Here is a 24821-nt window from a genome sequence, read left to right as displayed (position 1 = left end):
CAGAGGGTACTAGAGAGGTCGGAGATGGTTCATAAAGGCCTTCACATGTGCTGTCATATTTAACAATCAGAAAGGTACTTGAGGCAAAGAATCTGATCATCTTTGTTTTTCCTTGAGAAAATGCGCTCAGAGAGGTTTACTGACAATCCCAAAGGTGCTTGGTTGGTGCTTAAGAGATCTGGGTTTAAAACCTCAGACTGCTGTCTACTATGGCCTGTGTCAGAAAGACTGGGGTTGGAATTCCTGTTCCACCACTGCTGTGTTATTTAACCCCTCCAAACCTAGATTCTCAACAATAAAATGGGGGTAGGGAGGGAATTAAAGTATGTACCTTATTTTTTAGAGACAACATCTTGCTCTGTCGCCCAGGCTAGAGTGCAGTGGTGCAATCATAGTTCACTGTAGTCTCAACCTTCCAAGCTCAAGAGATCCTCCTACCTCAGCCTCCCTAGTAGCTGGAACTTCAGGCTACACTACGCCCAGCTGCTATTTATTATTTATTTATTTATTGAGATTGCATCTCACCATGTTGCCCAGGCTGGCTACTTAAAAAAAATTTTTTTTTTCAAGACAGGGTCTCACTCTGCCACCCAGGCTGGAGTACAGTGACAGAGTCTCAGCTCACTGCAACCTCTGCCTCCCAGGCTCAAGTGATCTTCCCACCTCAGCCTCCCAAGGAGCTGGGATTACAGGTACCCACCACCACACATGGCTAACTTTTTATTTTTTGTAGAGACAGGGTCTTGCTATGTTGCCCAGGCTGGTCTCAAACTCCTGAGCTCAAGCAATCCTCCTGCTTTGGCCTCCCAAAGTGCTAGGATTACAGTTGTGAGCCACCATGCCTGGCCTTGGCCACTTTAGTTTTGCTTTTTTTTTTTTTTTTTGAGTTGGAGTCTTGCTCTGTCATCCAGGCTCCCAGGCTGGAGTGCAGTGACACAATCTCAGCTCACTGCAACCTCTGCCTCCTGGGTTCAAGCAATTATCCTGCCTCAGCCTCCCAAGTAGCTGGGACCACAGGTGTGCACCACCATGCCCAGCTAATTTTTATATTTTTAGTAGAAATGGGGGTTTCACCATGTTGGCTAGGCTGGTCTTGAACTTCTGACTTCAAGTGATCCGCCTACTTTGGCCTCCCAAAGTGCTGGGATTACAGGCAAGAGCCACCGTGCCCGGCTGCCTACTTTAATTTTTAATAAAGGGTTGTTATATAAGGGGTAGGTGAGAGAATGAAGTAAAATTGAGTGTTACAGTCTCCAGTTGTTAATCACATTATAATTATTCTCTTTTAAAAGTTACCAACAAGTTATTTAAAGAATCGAATGGAACCCTTTGGAAATACAGTGTTCATGCCTCTAGTATTAATGCCAGTTTTTACTTCGAGGCCAGCAAGCTAGATTCCGATGGCCTTCCCTTTCCAGGATGGGAAGCGGATGATTGACTTCAATTTTCCCCCTTCCGTTACTTCTCTGCTCCACATCATTTCTGTGCTGATGCAGGGACGATTTCCACTCCTTTTACAGCGTAGATGTTAAAAGCCTGTGCGGAGCAGCTCATTCATCATTTTCCGCAGAGCTTTACCCCTCACTTCCCCAGCCAGCTAAATGCAGGCTGTTCTTGACTCTCTGATCTAGGCCCATTGCAGGGTGAGGGCCAGGCTCAGGAGTTTCCAGGGTGAAAACCAGGTAAGCTTGATGTTGGAAGGATGAAGAAGGACCCAAAAGGGTCTGAGATGCAGAGCTCTCCAGATGGGCCTGGGAGCCTGCAGGGGAAGAGGCCTCTCTTTATATCCCGGAGGCCTGGTGCAACTCTAGTTGGTTTCATGTTTGTTGCGAGTAACAGCAGCTCACATGAAGCGGTGCACCATGTTCATTTTACATGGATCATCTCAAGGACTGCTTACAAAAAGGCCAGGAAGTAGCTGATGTTCTTCCCATCTTACAGGTAGGGAAATTGAGGCATGGAGAGGCAAAGTTACTTGCCCATGGTCATATAGGTAGAAAGCAGCACTGGCAGATTCAAAGCCAGACATCTACTCTCAGATACACGCCCTGGGCCTCAAGGCCAGTTTGCCTGGGCATTTCCCTTTAATGTCTCCTCTCTGGAAGTGAATGGTGTCATCAGAAAGGTTCCAGTGCCAGCACCAATCAATGACTGTCCCAGTGAGAGCTTGGTCAAATCCCTTTACCCCTGCAGGGACTCAATTTTCTCACCTGCAAAATGGGGGTATTAATAAAGCCACCCCCCGCACCCCCGGCCCCCAGCCCCTCCACCTGGTTGCAAGAGGAGTGGTTGTAGACTAAGGGCCTGCGTCAAGTACAGAACCCAGGAGGGGTCTGCCCAACTTTAACCCTCTCTCCAAATCCTCTAGCCTGAAGCAGCAGAAACCCACGTGGGACTGGGGGCTGCCCCCTTCCGGGCCTTCCCCAAGCAGAGGGGTCCCCATCTAGCCCCGCGGGGCAACGGCGGCCGGTGGCTGCGTGAAGGGCCCCCTCCCCCGACGCCGGGGAGCAGGAAGGCCACTCGGCACCATATTTAGTCAGGGGGAGCCGGCAGCCCAGAGCTGGTATGCGGCGCTGGGAATTCCTGCAGGAAGGAGTCCGCGCCTGCCCTTTTTGGGTTGTCTCCCGCCCGCCGCTCCCGCCGCTCCCGGGGAGGGGGACCGGCCCGGCCCGGCCCGGCCCGGGAACCTCGGAGGAGCTGGTGCCGCGCGGGGAGCGGAGCGCCCGGGCTGCCCGCGGGTCCCCGGCCTGGCGCGGGGCCAGCCCACCGCCTCGACTTCCTTTTATGGCCTGTGTGTGCGTGCGTGGACAGGAGCGGGGAGGGAGGGACGGGGAGAAGACGGAGAGCCTGGGGAAGAGAGAGAGAGAAAGCGCAGAGATAGGAGTGAGACACGCGGGAGAGATGGAGAGCAAGAGACACAGAGACCAGAGACAAAGTGAGACAGGAGGGAGAGACAGATACATCGACAGATCTAGAGAAGCGAGAGGGACAGAGACAAAAGATAGAGCGAGAGACAGCAATGATCAGAGTGACAGACATGCAGAGACAGTGGCAGAGACAGAGCGAGAGAGCCTGTGATGGAGAGAGACAGGGAATGCAATTTTAGGCGAGGAATCCTTGGGGAAGGGAAGTTGTTGAAGGGAACTCGCAGACTCTGGGGGCACACCCACTTTCTCCTTGGATCTTGACACTTGCATCTTGTAAATAACGTAATTATCACCGCCACCGCCTTCCCCCATTTTGTAGCTATGGACACCAAGTCTCAGAGAAGTGAAGTGACTTGCCCAAGGTCACGCAGCTGGCGAGTGGCGCACAGGGGAGGGGGACAGCTGAAATAATCACAGTGGGCTTATTTTTAATTTTTATTTGTATTTTGGTCGTGGTGATGTGGGTGGAGGTGGAGATGGCAAGTTGGGAAAAGTAAAAACTTCCCCTTCCTGCACGGTTCCCAGCAAGGGTGGGGGCCTCCTGTCTTGCACTTTGCAAAGTTCAAGAAATCCCCTTTCCCTACCCTTCACGCTGCACAGCCGGCCCTCTTTCCAGACAGTGCGATGCCAATAAAATGGGAAGTGGGGTGGGAGATGTCAAGTCAGATCCACCACAGCCCCGACACGGGGAGGAAGAGGTTAAAGCCTTTGCGGCCGGAACCGACTCAGGGAAGACGTTCTCAAGCATCCCGCACAGACACTGCCTGCTCGACCCCCTTTCTCTAGGGATCCGGAGCGTCTGCGACCGCCTGGGGCCGGGGCTGAGACTCCCGTCCCTGTGCGCACCTGTTCCGTGCGCCCTTGTGCGGTGCGCACCTGTTCCGTGCACCCTTGTCCCGAGCGCCCCAGCTCCTTGCGCTCCCGCCGGGGGTGCGCCCTGCAGGGGGCGCGGCGAGGGGGCCGCGAGGGACCCTCCCCAACTCCACCCCTTCGGCCTCCTCCCCTTTCCCAGCCGCGGGCAGCTCCGGGTCTATAAAGAGAGGCGTCCGAGGACGCGCAGGGAGATTTGGACGCTCCGGCCTGGGAGGTGCGTCAGATCCGAGCTCGCCATCCAGTTTCCTCTCCACTAGTCCCCCCAGTTGGAGATCTGTAAGTAGTAGTTGTCATTCTGGGGGCAGATTGCAGGGCAGGGGGGTGTTAAAAGTCCTATAGGGTATTCTATAGGGGCTGGGGTGCACTTAGGGGTCCCTGTTGTCAACCTCGTAAGGGCCATGGTGGGGGCAGAGTTGTGATTTGGATCTCTCTCTGCCTTATCGTCTTAGATTATCCTAGACTTTCCCCAAACAGCATTTCTTAAGATTGCCAGTGAGAAGTACCATTTTGGGGGTGCTTATTAACGATATCAATGCCTGGACCCAACTCCATTTCCCAACTCTAGAATCCCCAGAAAAACTGCCTTAAAAAAAAAAAAATTAGTCCCGAGTGATTCTTGTTAAGAGGCTAATCCAGGAGATATGCTCCCTTGGAAATCTCAGAGGTCCGGTGCAGACAATCAAGGCATCTCACTTTTATTCTAGGCACCAAAAAATTTACAGCTGAACTTCACTGAAAAGTCACTTGCTATCACACAGAAGGGCAAAGTGAGGCTCCTTGTGGATTTGACCGTATTGCACAGTTGTGTTGATAATGCATTAAATCAGTTAAAAACACATGGGCATAGGCTTAGCAGAAAGGAGTGTTGTTGTTTTTTTTTTTTAATCAGTTTAGGGGAGGTTCTTCTATGTTGAGAACCCCTGGGAGATAAGGCTGGTTGTGATCTAGTTTGTTACAGCCCACTTTTTCCTCTTCTCCAAATTAAAAAAAAAAAAAACAACTCACCCAGGTTGACCCCAAAGGGCCCCCAGATACCCAGGTGGGCTCCAAAGTCTCCATTTGCTTCCACGATCTGCAGGTGCGTTAGGTAAGATTACACTAGAATTTCCCGCAGAGCCACCTGTGTCAATGCCACTCTCGTGCCCAACCAAATGGGTAAAACGAGAGAAAGTGTGGCTACTGCCTGTTGTAAGTTTTCTTCCAGCACAGGGTCTGGTAGGGATTTTGCCACTTGAGAAAAGGTACCATCCAAAGCCATGCTTGTCAAGAAGTAAAAGAAAATATTTAGAAACCCAAGGTGGGAGTGTTTAGTTGCAGTATGAAGAACTGAGAGATTAAATGGTGAACTGTCCGTCCGGGGTTTGGCAAAAAGAATGCAGGCTATTAATAAACTGCTTTGCATAGTTTTTTGTTTCTTTGATTTACTCAACGATACTATTTTAGAATTGTTCAGAGACGGAACTTGACGCTGAACTGAAAGTCATTAGGTGGCAGGGTGTGAAATAAGATAGAGAATTTTGTTTGAAGGAAATTGATGTTTTCCCTTTGAGATAGCTACCGTTGATGGAACACTTCAGTGCCACATGCTGTTGCAACATTTAACTTAATTTATCTCATTTAATCTTTGCAACAACTTCATAAGAAAGGCTTTATGATGCCTGTTTAGTATACAAGGCAGCTGAGGCTCAGAGAGGTAAAGTGTCACACAGCCAGCAAGTGGTAGAACCCATTCCCGGGTCAGTTTGAGTCCAAGTTCATACCCTTGACCCCACTATCTTTCTTCTTTACCATGGACACAAACTTGTTGGGGTCAGGTTTCTGGTGGGACTAAATGCTTCCAACAAAGTAAATGTTTATCACCGTGTCCTTTGAAGAAAACATAAACTGACTTTTTGCACATTTAAAATAAAAGGCACTGTTTGTCCCCTGATTGAGGGGGTGACCTAGCTGAAACCAGTGACCCTAGGTGGGCTGCCATGCCGAGAGTCCAGAACGTGAACTAGCTGGGTCTTTTCCGAGAAGCCGCCAGGCTTGCCTTGTAAACACCATGTTTTTTTATTATCATGTCCGAAATAGATGTGTTATTCCGTACAAGGTATCTGTTATGGATTTGTTATCATTACTTTTCCGTGGGAGGGCAGAGATTGAGGCAAACATGCCCATTTATGGAAGCGTTTTCCATGAGGCCATCCCCGGCCCCCTCGTCAGTTACCCAGCCTTGCACCGCAGCCCGGTTGGTCCTGGCCCTGGGGATTTGTCTACCATGTCCCTCACCCATTGAAGAACTAGTGGAGAAACCCTAAGGAGAAGAGATTTGGGAGGAAAGTGGGATTCTTTTTTCCTACCCCCTCTTATTCAGAGGTTTGATTTTTTTGGGTGGGGGGTGGGAGGGAATTGTCTCCTTTCCACAGGTCTTGAATCCAAACAGGTGGGTCTTCCACGTTAGGCACAAGCGTGTAATTCCAAGAGCAGATATATAGTAGATTTTTCTTGAAAACCAAGTTCAATATTCAATCCAGTAGAATCATAGAAGGCCATAAGCAAATTTAAAAATCATCTCCCGCACCTCCCCAAACCTCACTTTCTCATCCGGGAAATGGGGCTAATGAGAATAACTCATGTTTTTTGGGCACTTTTGCCTGGCGAGATGCTAAACGCTTTGTGGACATTATCTTACGTCTTCATAACAACCCTTTAGAGTAGATACTGTTATTCTAACTGGCTTTATTTTACACATATGGAGTCTGAATAACTTGCTTAAGATAGCTCAGCTAACCAGTAAGGAAAAGAAGATTCTACAAATCTAGGTCTTTCTAACTCCAGAGTTTCACAGATTACCCTCATGGGAGGATTTGATGAGCTAATGTGTATGAAGGGTTTAGCACAGTGCCTGGCCCCTGGTAAGCTTCAGTGATGGTTATTTATAGCAAACACAACCAGAGAGTTCAAGATGTTTGCTCAGTATGGCATGGCTCATCTTTGGCAGAACCGGGAAGCCTAAACTATGTGGCCGTTAAAGGAGAAGCTTCTCTTAATTTTCTTCCCTTTGATCTCATAAACCTCGTTTCTATTTGGGCTGAAAGTGGTGATTAGAATCTTTAATATATTAAGCTACCATTCCTTACCTGGATTGGGAATGTTACAAATTCCAATTACATTTGTTTAGGGTTTTGTTTGTTTGTTTTTGAGACAGAGTCTTGCTCTGTCGCCCAGGCTGGAGTGCAGTGGTGCGATCTTGGCTCACTGCAACCTCCGCCTCCTAGGTTCAGGCACTTCTCCAGCCTCAGCCTCCTGAGTAGAGAGTAGCTGGGTTTATAGGCGCCCACCACCATGCCTGGCTAATTTTTTGTATTTTTAGTAGAGATGGGGTTTCACCATATTGGCCAGGCTGGTCTCGAACCGCTGACCTCAAGTGATTCGCCTGGCTTGGTCTCCCAAAGTGCTCAGATTACAGGCGTGAGCCACCGCGCCTGGCTTATTTAGGGTCTTGATGGCATACTTTAAGGGATGGCCTTTTTGCTCTCTAGGTCTTCTCCTTCCACTCCTGACCTTTCAACTTTTAACCCTGGCCACACAATGGAGGAAAGACTGAATTTAGAGAAAGGCAGGCAAGAATTTGAAAGAAACCTTGTATGTGATCCAAGGACAGAGGAAGAAGCTGCTCACAGTGGCTGAAAGGGGAGGTCGGACATCTGTGACTTGTATCAGGGTTTCAGGGGCTAAGGAGGAACAACCTCATCAAAGTTGCTAGGAAAGGGCCATAGAGGCCAGGTATGGCAGGTCATACCTGTAATCCCAGCAATTTGGGAGGCTGAGGTGGGGGGATGGCTTGAAGTCAGGAGTTTGAGACCAGAGTGGGCAACATAGCGAGGCACCATCTCTACAAAAAAATTTTTAAAATGAGCTGGGCATGGTGGCATGCATCTGTAGTCCTAGTTATTCAGGAGGTTGAGTGAGGCAGGAGGATTGCTTGAGCCCAGGAGTTCAAGGCTGCCGTGGGCCCTGATTGCATCACTGTTCTCTAGCCTGGGCAACAGAGTGAGACTCTGTCTCAAAAAAAAGGTGAGGGGCATAGAACTTTACTGTACCAGGCTGAAAAATACAAGGCCCAGAGAGGGCAAGTGACTTGCCTAGCATCACCCAGCGAGTTTTGGGCAGAGCTGAGACTTGTAACTCGAAGACCTAAGGATCTTCCACAGGCTAATGAATAGCTTGTTTGTGCTCAAGGGATGAAGCAGTGAGTTGTTAGGACAGGACTGTGAATAGGGCTGACATATTCAGATGTGTCAAACATCGCTAATGCCATCTCTGAGTAAATTAGGCTTCAAACAGATCGGGATTCTAATCCTGGTTCCCCAACTTTTGCAAGGGAGGGCCTTGCATTTACCTTTCAAGACCCCGATAGGCTTAGCAGGAAAATGGGAATAATAGATAATGCCACTCTTTCATCCTTGGACTTTTTGTCTAATTATATGAATTTATCTGTAGGATAAATTCCCAGAAATGCGCTTGCTGAGTTAAAGGGCATGCGTATCTAAAATTAATAGATATTGCAAATGACTGGCTAAAGACATTGCAGACCAGGTGCAGTGGCTCACGCCTGTAATCCCAGCACTTTGGGAGGCCGCAGCAGGTGGGTCACCTGAGGTCAGGAGTTCAAGACCAGCCTGGCCAACATGGTCTCTGCTAAACCCTATCTCTACTAAAAATACAAAAATTATCTGGGCATGGTCGTGGGCACCTGTAATCCCAGCTACTCGGGAGGCTGAGGCACGAGAATCGCTTGAGCCTCAGAGGCAGAGGTTGCATTGAGCCGAGATCACACCACTGCACTCCAGCCTGGGCAAAGAGTGAGACTCGGTCTCAAAAAAAAAAAAAAAAAGGCATTGCAAATTGCAACTTGTTGCAGTCACATATGACAGCAGTCCCCATCCTCTTGGCACCAGAGACTGGTTTCGTGGAAGACAATATTTTCCAGGGTGGAGTGGGGAGGATGGTTTTGGGATGAAACTGTCCCACCTCATCATCAGGCATTGGTTAGATTCTCATAAGGAACGTACAACCTAGATCCCTTGCAGGTGGAGTTGGCAATAGGGTTTGTGCTTCTGTGAAAATCTAATGCTGCTTATCTGACAGGAGGCGGAGCTTAGGCAGTGATGGTCACTCACCCACCGTCCCCTCCTGCTATGTGGCCTGGTTCCTAACAGGCCATTGACTGATACTGCAGCACAAGGGTTGGGGACCCCTGACATAGGAGACTATACATTTATTTTAAGCTGTGGTATGCCAGAATTGTAAAATATAAAACACAGTGGGGCTTTTAGGGCCAGAAATAATCAGTTCTTGCTCGCTTCCAGAAGCATCCTTCACAGGGGCTACCGTAACTCTTGCCAACCAAGTTCTCTTGGTTGGGAGGAAAAAATAGTGTTATGCATTAAGAGAACTTCTTTCTGGAGTTACTTGAAACCATTGGTATTCAGATGATTAGGCAGATGTCACAAGGCAATAAGAATGTGACAGGTTCACCATTCACTTTTTTTCCTGTAAAAGTGAAGTAGGGCTTTCTTGGGAACAAGCCCTTGGGAGGTGGGGGGATGTGAATGGTGAGGGGAGGGTAGAAATGGTGGAGTAGGGTCAGGGGCAAGAAAGGGACTTTCTGCTAAGAATTAATCGGGTGTCCATTTACTCTTAGCAGAAAACTAGGATTAGATTCTGGATTGTACTCCTGACTCCAAATTTTACAAGTGGGGGTCTTGCATTTACCTTCCAGGACCTCGGTCATCTTAGCAGGAAAATAGCAATAGCAGGTGATGCCACCTTACAGAGCGCTTAGGAGACAGTGAGATGGTCTATATAGGAAGCTGTCTGGCCTGATACCTGATGAATACAAGGGGCCCAATAAATACAGTGGCTGTTATGAATAATAGATCTAAACTGCCTTTTTGGTACTACTGGGGACCTGCCAAGCAGGTGCATTTAGAGTGCCCAGTGCCTCTCCCTGCGACACATTTGATGCCTCCCTACACCTGGACCAGGCCTTGAGCGAGGATTTCCACTGCAGAGGTCCTTCCAGCTGGCGAATTGTGTTGCAGATCAGGTTCAGAGAACTTCTGTTTTGCCTGTGTGGCATTCATTCATTCGTTTATTTGAAATAGAGATGGGATCTCACTGTGCTGCCCAGGCTAGTCTAGAGCTCCTAATTCAAGCAATCCTCTTGGCTTGGCCTCCCATAGTTCTTGGATTACAGGTGTGAACCACTGTATCCAGCCCTTTATGACATTTAGAATATGAGCAATTTTTCTTTTTTCTTTTTTTTCTTTTTGAGATGGAGTCTCACTCTGTCACCCAGGCTAGAGTGCAGTGGCATGATCTTGGCTCACTGCAACCTCTACCTCCCAGGCTCAAGCGATCTTCCCACCTCAGCCTCCCGAGTAGCTGGGACTACCGGCATGTGCTGCCATGCCTGGCTAATTTTTGTATTTTCTGTAGAGATGGGGTTTCACCATGTTGCGCAGGCTGGTGTCAAACTCCTAAGCTCAAGCGAACTGCCTGCCTTGGCCTCCCAGTGTTGGGATTACAGACGTGAGCCACAGTGCTGAACCCTGCATGGTATTTAGAATATAAGCAATACTCTAACATCTGGTCTGGGTCACTCTGTATTACTTACCTGATCTCCAAAAACATTTGGGTTTTTGTCTCTGGTCCAAAATCTTTAGCCAATGGCTTGGCAGTAAAATCCTGAGGGAAGCTGTTGACCAGGTGAGGTGATGTGCAAATCCTATACTCTCTGGGCTCTGGGATATTTAATTTACTATTTATTTATTTATTTTCAAGACAGAGTTTTGCTCTTGTCGCCCAGGCTGGAGTGCAGTGATGGGATCTCAGCTCACTGCACCCTCCACCTCCTGGGTTCAAGCGATTCTCCTTCCTCAGCCTCCTGAGTAGCTGGTATTACAGGCGCCCACCACCACACCTGGCTATTTTTTGTATTTTTAGTAGAGACGGGGTTTCACCATGTTGGCCAGGCTGGTCTTGAACTACTGACCTCAGGTTATCCGCCTGCCTCGGCCTCCCGAAGTACTGGGATTACAGGCATCAGCCACCATGCCCGGCCTAATTTACTTTTTATTAATGCTGAAGCAGAGAGGGCAAGATCTTTTGCCCCTGAGTTCTTCTGGGAAAAATGAAACTGATGGTAAAACAAACTAAAGCAACCTGACATTCTCAGTTGGTCCAGTTTCAGCCCTTTGACTGGGAGTCACAGACGGGTCCCATAAAATGGTAGAGCTGGGCCAGCCTACCATTGATTTATTTTCCCTAAATGAAAAATACAAGGCCCAGAGAGGGCAAGTGACTTGTCCAGAGTCACCCAGCAGGTTTGGGGCAAAGCTGAGACTCGTTACTTGACATCCTAAGGTCTTCCAGAGGCTAATGATTAGCTTGTTTGTGCTCAAAAAATGAAGCAGCCTGGGCGCGGTGGCTCATGCTTGTAATCCTAGCACTTTGGGAGGCTGAGGCAGGCAGATCGCTTGAGCTCAGGAGTTTGAGACCAGCCTGGGCCACAAAGTGAGACCCCTGTCTCTACAAAAAAATGCAAGAATTAAAAAATTAGCTGGGTGTTCTGGTGCGTGCCTGTGATCCCAGCTACTTGGGAGGCTGAGGTGGGAGAATGGCTTGAGCCTGGGAGGCAGAGTTTGCAGAAAGCAGAGATCGCGCCACTTCACTCTAGCCTGGGCAACAGAGCCAGACCCTGTCTCAAAAAAAAAGAATGAAGCAGTTGTTGGTCAGGACAGGACTGTAAACAAGGCTGACACACTCAGATGTGTCAAACATCGCTAATGCCAAAGGTGACAGAGTCATTTGTTTTCATCCAAACATTCGAGAAAGTTGGACGAGGTGACTCACGCCTGTCATCCTAGAGCTTTGGGAAGCCAAGGCAGGAGGATCATTTGAGATCAGGAGTTTGAGACCAGCCTAGGCAAAATAGCAAGACCCCCATCTCTACAAAAAATAAGCCGGGCATAGTGGCCCACACCTGAGGTGGGAGGATCCCTTGAGCCCATGAGTTTGAGCCTGCAGTAAGCTATGATTGCACCACTGCACTCCACCCTGGGCATATAGTGAGACCCTTCCCCCAACCAAAAACATTGAGAGCAGCTCTTGATGAGTGAACTGTACTTCGTGGTCAGCAGTTCTGGGTAGTAATTTCAGAGATGTCCTTTCAGCCCTTGGAGCTGATGCAGGACCTTAAACATGAGCGATGGTGGAGGAGGGAGGGTTGGGAAGGTGCATCAAGGTAGATGAAGAGTGTCCCTGGGGTTGGGCCAACTGGCGGTCCGTCTCTGGTCCAGTGTGTTCACCTTGCCCCCGTCTGATCTTCTGCAGTTGGTATTCCGAGTTGAGTTTGACTAAGTGAGAGCTGCTCTCAGCTTTAACTGCCTTTCCCAAGACAGCCCTTGTTTTTATTCTAAAGCTGTGGTTCTCAACTGGAAGCAGTTTTGCCACCCCAGGGGACATCTAGCAGTGTCTGGAGACATTTTTGATTGTCATGAGTGGAGGAAGGGGTGCTACTGGCATCAGGTGGGCAGAGACCAGGGATGCTGCGGAACATCCCACAATGCACGGAAGAGCTCCCCTCACGACACAGAATGACGCAGCCCAAGAGTCACAGTGCAGAGTTTGTGGCCAGCTGCGGTGGCTCACGCCTGTAATCCCAGCACTTTGGGGGGCCAAGGTGGGAGGATTGCTTGAGGCCTGGAGTTCAAGACCAGCCTGGCCAATATGGTGAAACCTCATCTCTACTAAAAATACAAAAATTAGCCAGGCATGGTAGCGCATGCCTGTAGTCCCAGCTACTTGGGAGGCTGAGGCACGAGAATCACTTGAACCCAGAAACGTGGAGGTTGCAGTGAGCTGAGATTGCGTCACTGCACTCCAGCCTGGGTAACAGAGCGAGACTCTGTGTCAAAAAAAAAAAAAAAAAAAAAAGACTTAGCAACTATTATTACTAGTATTAGTATTATTAATTTGTCAGGCTCACTGAATTTTCTCAAAAATTTGGCAAATTTTTAGGAAAACATTCTCAAAACATTTGGCAAATCTGTGGCTAAATGTTGTTTTGGGGACCCAAGGCTCGTAGGAGCAAAACAGCTTTCAGGTTTCCGGATCTGCCAGAGACTCAAGTGTCCTGTTGTGTGTTTTGTGTCTCAATGAGGGAAAGGGGAATATGTAGCACCTTCCAGATGGATTTGACCTTGACTGCGCCACTGTTTGAAGAGCTTCTCAACCTCCGCAGCTCCACCCCAGCCCAGATATTTCAGGGAATTAGGGTTCCAAGGGGCATGCTATGGAAAACACCATTCTAGCATGAGTCGAAGCTTCTCATCCCCCATCTTGCTGTCTTTTGACCAAAGCAGATTTTGCACGTCGTAACTGTCAGAGACATCAAAGCCAGAGGGAATCCAGCCTGCTCCAAGCTCTCCTTTTTTGTACAGAGACTGAATCTTTGCACTTGATCTTGTTTGTGTTTTTAAGTCTGAGGTTAGACAGGGTCCCAGGCAATGGAGGCGTGCGTGTCCTTTTATTTTTCTGTTGTAGCTTTTGCTATTTTTTCTGACTTTTAAGGCAACTCATCCACATGGCAATTAGGAAGAGCCCACTTAGGGCTGGGCACAGCGGCTCATGCCTGTAATCCCAGCACTTTGGGAGACCGAGGCAGGCAGATCACTTGAGGTCAGGAGTTCAAGACCTCAGCCTGGACAACATGGTGAAACCCCGTCTCTACAAAGAATACAGGAAAATAGCTGGGCATGGTGGCAGGTGCCTGTGGTCCCAACTATTTGGGAGGCTGGGGTGGGAGGATCACTTGAGCCTGGGAGGCGGAGGTTGCCGTGAGCTGAGGTCATGCCACTGCACTCCAGCCTGGGCGACAGAGCAAGACCCTGTCTCAGAAAAAAAAAAAAAAAAAAAAGAAGTCCACTTTACTTGTCATAGTGCTTAGAACAAATGAAACACTCTCCTAGCCCTCTTGGGATGTAATTGGCTACCATCTGCACAAACTCTTCATTATTGCACAAGAATATCAATATACTTAATGCTACTGAACTGTGTTTAAGTGGCCGAGGTGGTGAATGTTAGCTGTATTTTACCACAATTAAAGATAAGAGGGAAGGAAAATGAAGTGTACTTTACAACCAAAAAAGTACGCTTGATGTGCAAAAAAGTGTGCAGCTTGATGAATTTTCAAGAGGATATATTTTTTATAGATGGGGGTCTCACTCTGTCACCCAGGCTGCAGTGCAGTGGCATGATCATGGCTCACTGCATCCCCGACCTCCTGAGCTTAAGTGATCCTCCCACCTCAGCCTCCTGAGTAGCTGGGACTGCAGGTGCACACTATCACAACCGGTTAATTTTTGTATGTTTGCTAGAGACAAGGTTTCACCATGTTGACCAGGCCGGTCTCAGCCTCCTGGGCTCAGGTTATCCTCCTACCTCAGTCTTCCACACAGGTAATTAAAAAACATTTTTTCTTAGAGATGGGTCTTGCTGTGTTGGCCAGGCTGGTCTCAAACTCCTGGGCTCAAGTGGTCCTCCCATCTTGGCTTCTCAAAGTGCTGGGATTACAGGCGTGAGCCATGTCACCTGGCCCAACAGTTTGATGAATTTTCAGAAAGTGAACACTCATAGGGCTGGCATTCAGATGAAGATCTAGAGGTCAACCCTCACAAGCCCCCCTCACGTTCTGTCCTTGCAATCATTGCACACCGGAGACTCATTCATTCCTTATCTGAGTTCTATCACCGTAGATTAATTCTGCCTGGTTTTGGACCTCAGTTCAATAGTCACAGAACCTGTGCTTTTTGTGACCACCTTCTTTTGCTCAAGGATGTGTTGTGAGATGTCCTTTTTTGTGGTGTGGAGCTGTAGTTTACTTCACCTGATTCGAGTCCTATTTTGGGTGTTTGTAATGTGTCAGGTACTGTGCCAGGTGCCTTACAGGATTGATTCCTTTATGGGCATCTGACAAGCCCACCCACCTTATGTGAAAGGCAGAACCAAATAGACTCCAGAATGAGACCCAGGTTTGGGTCCCAGCTCTGACACTTCTTTTTTTTTGAGATGGAGGCTGACTCTGTCGCCAAGGCTGGAGTGTAGTGGTATGATGTCGGCTTACGGCAACCTCCACCTCCCGGGTTCAAGTGATTCTCCTGACTCAGCCTCCCAAGTAGCTGGGGCTACAGGCACGTACCACCAATCCTGGCTAATTTTTAATTTTTGTATTTTTAGTAGAGACAGGGTTTCACAATGTTGGCCAAGCTGGTCTCAAACTCCTGACCTCAAGTTATCCTCCCACCTCAGCCTCCCAAAGTTCTGGGATTATAGGCATGAGCCATCACACTCGGCCTACTTGTGATCAATCTTACTTCATCTTCACACCCTCCCATTTCTCTTACGCATCCTCCAGTTTCTCTCTCTCTCTCTCCTTCTTTTTCTCTCTCTCTCTCTCACACACACACACACGATCTGCTGCGACACCTTAAGAAACAAGAGATTATCAGGGAATGATTGAATATTTTGCCGCATTTCCTATTTTGCTGCCTGTTTAAACTAACCTTGGTTATACTATTAAAAGAAGACGCGTCGTATCAAGCCACTTCTGTGACTATGGCTGTCCAGAAATAAACATAATTAAAACATCCAACAGTAGTAAATGCTATTGGTTAGGAATGAGCGAAGTGGCTTAGAGTCACCGGAAGTGAGAAAGGGTATAGAAACAGAAGGTACTTGGTGTAGATCAGGGGTGTCCTATCTTTTGGCTTCCCTGGGCCACCCCAGAAAAAGAAGAATTGTCTTGGGCCACACGTAAAATACACTAGCACTAATGATAGCTGATGAGCTAAAAAAAAAAAAAAAAATCGCGAAAAAATATCATACTGTTTTAAGAAAGTTTATGAATTTGTATCGGGCCACATTCAAAGCCGTCCTGGGCCCCATGCAGCCTGTGGGCTGCAGGTTAGACAAGCTTGGTGTAGAGAGTTTCATCTAAACTTCATGGCAGCTCTGCAGGGCACCCGTTAGGTCCCCAGTATTAATATACAGTAAATCTGAGTCTCAGATCTACGTAAGTCACCCAGAAGCACGCATTCTGCAGTGGCAGAGTCACGTTTGAATTAGCATCTGATTGCAAAGTCTGGGTGTCTTTACATGACTACAGGTTATCTTACCTCTCAAGAGGAGGCAACCAATCAAATGTTGCCAGCACCAATGAACTTGTACTTTATTTAGGCTCAGAAAGATCTTTTAGGCTAATGAAAATGCCCTATATTTATGAAATGTTCTCGTTCTCTGTGGCTTTCTCTTTTTTGAGACAGGGTCTCACCCTGACACCCAGGCTGGAGTGCAGTGATGTAATCATAGCTCACTGCAGCCTCAAACTCCTGGGCTCAAGCAACCCTCCTGCCTCAGCCTCCTAGTAGCTGGGACTACAAGCACGCATCATCATGCCTGGCTGATATTTTTTTTAAGGGATGGGGTCTTGCTATAATGCCCAGTCTGGTCTCGAACTCCTGGGCTCAAGCAATCCTCCTGCCTTGGCCTCCCAAAATATGGGATTATACATGTGGGCTACTGCCAGCCTCTTTTCTTTCAATTATTTTTTAATCTATGGGTTCCCCTCCTTTTTGTTTGTATTTTATTTGTTAAAGAAAGAGAGTACTGGCCGAGCGTGGTGGCTCACACCTGTAATGTCAGCACTTTGAGAGGCCAAGGCCGGTAGATCACCTGAGGTCAGGAGTTTGAGACCAGCCTGGACAATATGGTGAAACCCCGTCTCTACTAAAAATACAAAAATCAGCCAGGCGTGGTGGCATGCACCTGTAATCCTAGCTCCTCGGGAGGCTGAGGCAGGAGAATCACTTGAACCTAGGAGGTGGAGGTTGCAGTGAGCCAAGATCCCGCCATTGCACTCTAGCTGGGCGACAGAGCATAGTCTCTCACCTTTGGGAGTTTACTGCATTGTTTAGCATGCTCTCCTGTGCCTTGCATTTTCCATAGACAGGCGTCAGATCTGGAGGCTTCATCACCTTCATCCCCCATCTCCATCCCCTTTTCTTTTGAGCAAGAATATGTCATTAGTGGTAACGGCACTTCCTGTAGTGGCCCATCTGCAGGCATGTAATGTTTATAATGTCTAGTCAGCTCTCTCTTTTTGTGATGTTAGGGTTAATTAGTAGATTTAGGTGATGGCAGGCGGACCCATCCCTTAAAAATTCCACAAGAGCTCTTCATCTGATATAGTCAGTCTTGTGGTGGGGACCCTAGACCAGCATCATCATCATCACCCGGAAGCTGGTTAGGAATGCATATTCTTGGGCCCCATCCCAGTCCTACTGACTCAGAAGCTAATGCACCAGGAAATGTGAGCCCCATTGGCCTAATGGTTTTAGCAATTACTGGTAGAACTTGCCAACTTGCCAAGACCCTTTCTTTCTTCCTTTCTTTCTTTTTTTTTTTTTGAGACGGAGTCTCACTCTGTCGTCCAGGCTGGAGTGCAGCGGCGCATCTCCACTCACCCACTCACTGCAAGCTCCGCCTCCCAGGTTCACACCATTCTCCTGCCTCAGCCTCCAGAGTAGCTGGGACTACACGCGGCCGCCACCACGCCCGGCTAATTTTTTTTTTTTTTTTTAGTAGAGACAGGGTTTTGCCGTGTTAGCCAGGATGGTCTCGATCTCTTGACTTCGTGATCTGCCCGCCTCAGCCTCCCAAAGTGCTGGGATTACAGGTGTGAGCCACTGTGCCCGGCCTCTTCCTTCCTTTCTTCTTTCTTTCCTTCCTTCCTTCCTTGGCAAAGTCTTGCTCTGTTGTCCAGGCTGGAGTACAGTGGCATGATCTCGGCTCATTGCAACCTCCACCTTTGGAGTTCAAGTAATTCTCCTGCCTCAGCCTCCTGAGTAGCTGGAATTACAGGCACATGCCACTATGCCCAGCTAATTTTTGTATTTTTTAGTAGAGACAGGGTTTTCCCATGTTGACCAGGCTGGCCTCAAACTCTTGACCTCAGGTGGTCCGCCCACCTGGGCCTCTCAAAGTGCTGGGATTACAGGTGTGAACCACCGTGCCCAGCTTGAGACCCACTATTAGCTTTATAAACAGTTACATCCTAGTTTTATTGTTCTGCATGTATTCGCTGGAATTCTTCCATGTAGAAGGGAGTCTTTTTTAAGATAGGGTAACTGGAGTCAGGGGCAGGACACTGTTGGTCTTACTATGAGCTAAGCCAAATTCAATAACAATTTTAAAATGCAGAAAGGAGGATTGTTAAACTTAGGACAATACATGTTGTCTACCAGATCTTTATTTCTCTTTCTGGATATCTGAAGTGATTATTCAGATTTAGATGGGATTTCCTCATTTCTCTGCCCTTTTTTTTTTTTTTTTTTTTTTTTTTTTGGATGAAGTCTTGCTCTGTTGCCTGGGCCAGAGTGCAGTGGCACCATCTCAGCTCACTGCAACCTCTGCTTCCTGGGTTCAAGCAATTCTCGTGCCTCAGCCTCCCGAGTAGCTAGGATTACAGGTGCCTGCCACCAAGCCCAGCTAATATTTTTGTGTTTTTAGTAGAGATCAGGTTTCGCCACGTTGGCCAGCTGGTCTTGAACTCCGGACCTCAAGCAATCCTCCTACCTCAGCCCCAACAAAGTGCTAGGATTACAGGTGTGAGCCACCGCACCTAGCCGCCACTTTTTTTTCATCAGCTACGATATCAGGTCTCCCAGCAGAAAATCTCTGAGCAAATCAACTTCCAGGTTTGTTTTTCGTTTTTTTGAGACTGAGTTTCGCTCTTACTGCCCAGGCTGGAGTGCGGTGAGAGGCACAATCTTGGCTCACTGCAACCTCCACCTCCCGGGTTCAAGTGATTCTCCTGCCTCAGCCTCCCGAGTAGCTGGGATTGTAGGCGCATGCTACCACGCCCAGCAACTTTTCGTATTTTTAGTAGAGATGGGGTTTCACATGTTGGCCAGGCTGGTCTCGAACTCCTGACCTCAGGTGTTCCACCGGCCTTGGCCTCCCAAAGTGCTGGGATTACAGGCATGAGCCACTGCACCCAGCAGCAGGTTCTTAAAATTAGTTTTTTAATTATTATTTTCAGCCCTGAAAGGAAAAAAATAGGTATTGGAATATCTGCCACTCCCATTCTGTCTTGCAAAATCTGCATCACCCAAAAGGTTGGGTTTCAGGAGTTGGCTGCTCAGCTCTAGGGATCCAGGAGTGGGACATGGGTCTTTATTCTGTCGCTGTGGGATTTGGGGCCCAAGCGTGGGGATTATCAGTGAATTCAAAGGAGTTGTGAATTCCCTGCTGAAGGAGGGATGTCAACCACGCATAGATCCTGGTGGCCATATGTCCTCACTTAGCCAGCAACTCAGTTCTTTGGAGCCCAGCAGCAAGAGGTAGAAGGGGCTGTAAGCCAGTGTTTCCAGGACAGCCCCTGCAGCTATGGTCAGAGAGTCAGGAACGGGGGGCCGGACAGGCCTATAGAGTGTGTTGTCTCTGTCCCTCTCCTCATAAACACATCTGGATAACGACAGATAACGTGAATCTACCATCCATGGGCTTCCCATGTAGACAGGACATTTAATGACCTAATCTTCCATCAAGAGAGACTTCCCCTTCTTAATTTAGTTACCCTAAGGAACAATTTGTATAGAAAACGCAGAATCAAGATTTTCACATTTCCACCCCACTTTCTGTACCCATTTAAAAAATAATGCATTTGGGGCTGGGCACAGTGGCTCATGCCTGTAATCCCTTCACTTTGAGAGCCCGAGGCTGGTGGATCACTTGAGGTCAGGAGTTTGAGACCAGCCTGGCCAACTTGGCGAAGCCCCGTCTCTACTAAAAATACAAAAATTAGCTGGGTGTGATGGTGCACGCCTGTAATCCTAGTTACTCGGGAAGCTAAGGCAGGAGAATCGCTTGAACCCAGAGGCAGAGGTTGCAGTGAGCCAAGATTGCACCACTGCCCTCCAGCATAGACAACAGAGCAAGACTCCATCTCAAACAACAACAACAAAAATCATTTTGAACAAATGCATTTAAATATATTTGTCTTTCCACCCTTTTTGGGGTGTTAGGGTGATGGACATATAATTATTTTTCTTATTGATATTCACACTGTCTCGTATTTGACCAGATAGAACCCTAGTATAATATTTTGGTATGCAGTTTTCTAGACTTTTAGAAATGTACACACAAACATATAAAATGAAGACAAATACTTTATGACAAATATTTTAATCAGCTTTATTGAGGTATAATCTATATAAAGTAAAACTCACCGATTTAAAACAAATTCAAGTTTTTTTAAGTGTACAGCTTGAGTGAGTTTTTTCAACTTAAAAAATTTATTTCTTAATTGACAAATAATCATACATGTTCATGGGGTCCATAATGATTTTTTTAGTTGTTTGGTTGGATGGTTTTGAGACAGGGTCTCGCTCTGTGGCCCAGGCTGGAGTGCAGTGGCATGATTACAACTCACTGCAGCCTTGACCTCCTGGGCTCTAGCCATCTTCCCGTCTTAGCCTCCTGAGTAGCTGGAACCGTAGGCATGCACCACCGTGCCAGGCTAATTTTTAATTTTTTTACAGAGACAGGGGCTTCTTATGTTGCCCAGGTTGGTCTTGAACTCCTGGCCTCAAGGGATCCTCCTGTCTCAGCTTCCCACAGTGCTGGGATTACAGGTGTGAGCCACTGAGTCCAGCTCTTAGTAATGTTTTGATATTAATACATATAATGTGTGGGGAGATAAGATCAGGATAATTAGCATATCCATCATCTCAAGCATTTGCCATTACTTTTATTTTGCTACTTCCTATATAATGACATTTATCATCTCTTTGTGTTGGGAACATTCAATGTCCTTCTTCTAGCTCTTGGAAACGATGTAATATTTTATTGTTCACTTTACTCATCCTATAGTGGATAGAACATTCTTAATGAGTTTTGACAAATGTATACAGTCTTGTAAGCACCACCATGACCACAGGGAATACTTTTATCACCCCGAAAGGTGGTGCCTCTTACCTCTTATGTACCTCTTCTGTGCCTCTTACTAATCCATTCCTTTCCTTGCCACTGGCAACTCTTTTTTTTAATTTTTTTGAGACAGCGTCTCACTCTGTCACTCAGGCTGGAGTGCAATGGTGCAGTCTCGGCTCACTGCAGCCTCTGCCTCCCAGGTTCAAGTGATTCTCCTGCCTCAGCTTTTTGAGTAACTGGGATTACAGGTGTGCACCACCATGCCCGGCTAATTTTTGTATTTTTAGTAGAGATGGGGTTTTACCACATTGGGCAGGCTGGTTTCAAACTCCTGACCTCAAGTGATCCCCCCTGCCTTGGCCTCCCAAAGTGCTGGGATTACAGGTGTGAGCCACCGTGCATGGCCTCCTCTGGCAACTCTTGATTGCCTGTCACCATAGATATGCCTTTTCTATTTTGCCATTACTTTTTTTTTTTTTCGAGACAGAGTCTCGCTCTGTCGCCGAGGCTGGAGTGCAGTGGCGCGATCTCAGCTCACTGCAACCTCCGCCTCCTGGGTTCAAGCAATCCTCTTGCCTCAGCCTCCTGAGTAGCTGGGACTACAGGTGTGTGCCACCACACTCCATTAATATTTGTATTTTTAGTAGAGACAGGGGTCTCACCATGTTGCCCAGGCTGGTCTTGAACTCCTGACCTCAGGTGATCCACTCACCTCAGCCTCCCAAGGTGCTGAGATTACAGGCGTGAGCCACCGCGCCCGGCCGCCATTACCTTCTATCTCAATAACCACACTTACGTTTGCACCAGCCTAATAGTTTTTCGTATTGAAGGAGTAATAGAGCGTGTGGCCTTTCTGATTTGTTTCACTGAGCATGATGCTTTTGAGACTCATTTATTTTATTGCATAATTTCTTTCCTTTTACTGAGTTTCCAGTTATATACCTTGGGTTGTTTGTTTGTTTTTAAGGCAGAGTCTCACTCTGTCACCCAGGCTGGAGTGCAGTGGCTTGATCTTGGCTCACTGCAATCTTGACCTCCCAGGCTCAGGTGATTCTCCCACCTCAGCCTCCCAAGTAGCTGAGACTACAGGTGTGCGCTACCATGCCTGGCTAATTTTTTGTATTTTTTGTAGAGACAAGGTTTTGCCATGTTGCTTAGGCTGGTCTCCAACTCCTGGGCTCAAGGAATCTGGGTAATTCTATGTTTAATCGTATGAGGACTCTTATTTTGCAGCGCACAGTTAGACTTGACCATCTTCCCATATTAGCACGTGTACACTTACTTCCGGCTTCTTCTTCTTTTTTTTTTTTTTTTTTTGAGATGGAGTCTGGCTCTGTCACCCAGGCTGGAGTGCAGTGGCACTATCTTGGCTCACTGCAACCTCTGCCTCCTGGGTTTGAGCAATTCTGCCTGAGCCTCCCAAGTGGCTGGGATTACAGGTGCACACCATCACACCTGGCTAATTTTTGTATTTTCAGTAGAGACGGGGTTTCACCATGTTGGCCAGGCTGGTCTTGAACTCCTGGCCTCAAGTGATTTGCCCACCTCGGCCTCCCACAGTGTTGGGTTTACAGGTGTGAGCCACCTTGTCCAGCCCTACTTCCTGCCTCCTGAGCACTGGGTAGTATTTCACAGTGTGGAAATAGCATGGCTTATGTATCCAGCTGTATGTTGGTGGACATTTGGGTTGTCTGACTTTTGGTATTTTAGGCGATGACACACATCCCTTTCTGAAGGGCCTTTGGGTGGTCTCTGTTCTTTGACCACATACACAATACTGCAGGTCTTTGTACTTGGTGGGATGTCTCTGCAGACCGAGTTCCTAGACAGGGCAAGGTGAGTGGTTGGTCTGTCTTCCGGGCTTGGTTGTGGTCTGATTCTGACCCTGTTACCTTATTCCACAGGGGACCAACAAGGCACCATGGCGCAGAAGGGCCAACTCAGTGACGATGAGAAGTTCCTCTTTGTGGACAAAAACTTCATCAACAGCCCAGTGGCCCAGGCTGACTGGGCCGCCAAGAGACTCGTCTGGGTCCCCTCGGAGAAGCAGGGCTTCGAGGCAGCCAGCATTAAGGAGGAGAAGGGGGATGAGGTGGTTGTGGAGCTGGTGGAGAATGGCAAGAAGGTCACGGTTGGGAAAGATGACATCCAGAAGATGAACCCACCCAAGTTCTCCAAGGTGGAGGACATGGCGGAGCTGACGTGCCTCAACGAAGCCTCCGTGCTACACAACCTGAGGGAGCGGTACTTCTCAGGGCTAATATATGTGAGTATTGCAGGCAGCCAGGTACCTACTCCTGGCCTCATAAGGAAAGTAGGCATTAGAAATGTGTTGGGAGGGCTGGGCACAGTGGCTCATGCCTGTACTCCCAGCACTTTGGGAGGCCGAGGTGGGCAGATCACCTGAGGTCAGAAGTTCGAGACCACGCTGGCCAACATGATGAAATGCCGTCTCTACTAAAAATACAAAAAGTAGCCAAGGGTGGTGGTGCGCATCTGTAATCCCAGCTACTGGGGAGGCTGGGGCAGAGGAATTGCTTGAATCCAGGAGGTGGAGGTGCAGTGAGCCAAGACTGTACCACTGCACTCCAGCCTGGGTGACAGAATAAGACTCTGTCTCAAAAAAAAAAAAAAAGGAAATGGGAGGCTGAAGGTTTGATCGAGGGAGATTGCAAGATGAGGTGGAATCATTCCAAGGTGGGTTCACATCTCAGCCCTTGAAGAGGTTATTTCCTCTCTCGAAGCCTTGGTTTTCCTATCCGTAAAATGGGAATAATCACCCTCATTACAGACAGGAGGTGTGACAATCCCATGTCATCACATGTGCCAAGTGCCAAGACGTATGATAAACTCTCAACAGATTTCATTGGCATCGTTCTCTGTCCTTCCTTCCTCTTGAAAGTAAAGAAGAGCTCATAACCACTTTGGAAAGGCTGGTTTGTCTTGGCAGCCAGGTGGGTAGGAGACATGAGGATGTGGCTAGGTTTTAGGGAGGCCTTCCTTGTCACAGAGGGGAATGTTCAGGTTGGTCGTAGGACTATTTTAGGTAGACTTGCAGAACAGAGTGGACTAGAGATGGCACAATATGGTAGCCACTGGCCACTCGTGGCTAACTAAATTTAGATTTAAATTAATTAAAAGAAACATTAGACCAGGTTTGGCGACTCATGCCTGTAATCCCAGCACGCTGGGAGGCCAAGGCGGGTAGATCACTTGAGGTCAGGAGTTTGAGACCAGCCTGGCCAACGTGATGAAACCCTGTCTCTACTAAAAATGCCAAAATTAGCCAGGCATGGTAGTGCACATCTGTAATCCCAGCTACTTGAGAGGCTGAGGCAGGAGAATTGCTTGAACCCGGGAGGCAGAGGTTGCAGTGAGCCGAGATGGTGCCGTTGCACTCCAGCCTGGGCAATAAGAGCGAAACTCCATCTCAAAAAAAAAAAAAAAAAAAAAAGAAACATTAAAAAATTTATTAGCTGGGTGCGTGGGCTCACACCTGTAATCCCAGCACTTTGGGAGGCCAAGGTGGGTGGATCACCTGAGGTCAGGAGTTCTAGACAAGCCTGGCCAACATGGTAAAACCCCGTCTCTACTAAAAATACAAAAATTAGCTGGGCATGATGGTGTGCGCCTGTAATCCCAGCTACTTGGGAGGCCGAGGCAGGAGAATCGCTTGAACCTGGGAGATGGAGGTTGCAGTGAGCCAAAATCGCGTTATTGTACTCCAGCTTGGGCAATAAGAGCAAAACTTCATCTCTAAATAAATACATAAGTAAAAGACAATAAAAAATAACAAATTTATTTCTTTTGTTGTGTTGGCCCTAGGTCAAGTAGTCAATAGCCACCTGTGGCTAGTGGCTGGTGTACTGGGTAGCATAAGTGCAGAATGTTCCCATTATCATAGAAAGTTCTGTTGGACTGCTTGGACTAGATGATTGGGGCTTGGAGTGTGATGTTGTGGGGCACGGGTCGCCAGAC

The 24821-nt window shown here is 47.8% G+C and overlaps 1 protein-coding gene across 4 annotated transcripts in view, besides 1 other annotated feature; it reads left to right on the top strand.

Annotated features, from left to right (window-relative positions):
• Nucleotides 2442–2943: an enhancer, noted in NCBI's record as "H3K4me1 hESC enhancer chr16:15951931-15952432 (GRCh37/hg19 assembly coordinates)". NCBI's record gives its function as "activates a minimal SCP1, AML or CMV promoter by ChIP-STARR-seq in naive H9 embryonic stem cells {active_cell/tissue: H9 hESC(naive)}" and the evidence as "EXISTENCE:reporter gene assay evidence [ECO:0000049][PMID:30033119]".
• Nucleotides 3989–24821, top strand: part of MYH11 (myosin heavy chain 11) — a 153894-nt gene continuing 133061 nt past the window's right edge. For all 4 annotated transcript variants that reach the window (NM_002474.3, NM_022844.3, NM_001040114.2 and 1 more), the window contains exons 1-2: nucleotides 3989–4076; nucleotides 22748–23109. In NM_002474.3, the coding sequence (NP_002465.1) occupies nucleotides 22765–23109 (345 nt within the window). In that variant the 5' untranslated portion in view covers nucleotides 3989–4076; nucleotides 22748–22764. The remainder of the gene's footprint in view (nucleotides 4077–22747; nucleotides 23110–24821) is intronic.

This window comes from Homo sapiens, chromosome 16 (assembly GCF_000001405.40).
Source record: "Homo sapiens chromosome 16, GRCh38.p14 Primary Assembly".
In the NCBI taxonomy this organism is placed as follows: Eukaryota; Metazoa; Chordata; class Mammalia; order Primates; family Hominidae; genus Homo; species Homo sapiens.
Note: the sequence above shows the minus strand (reverse complement) of the source record. Positions and strands in the feature narration are given on the sequence as shown.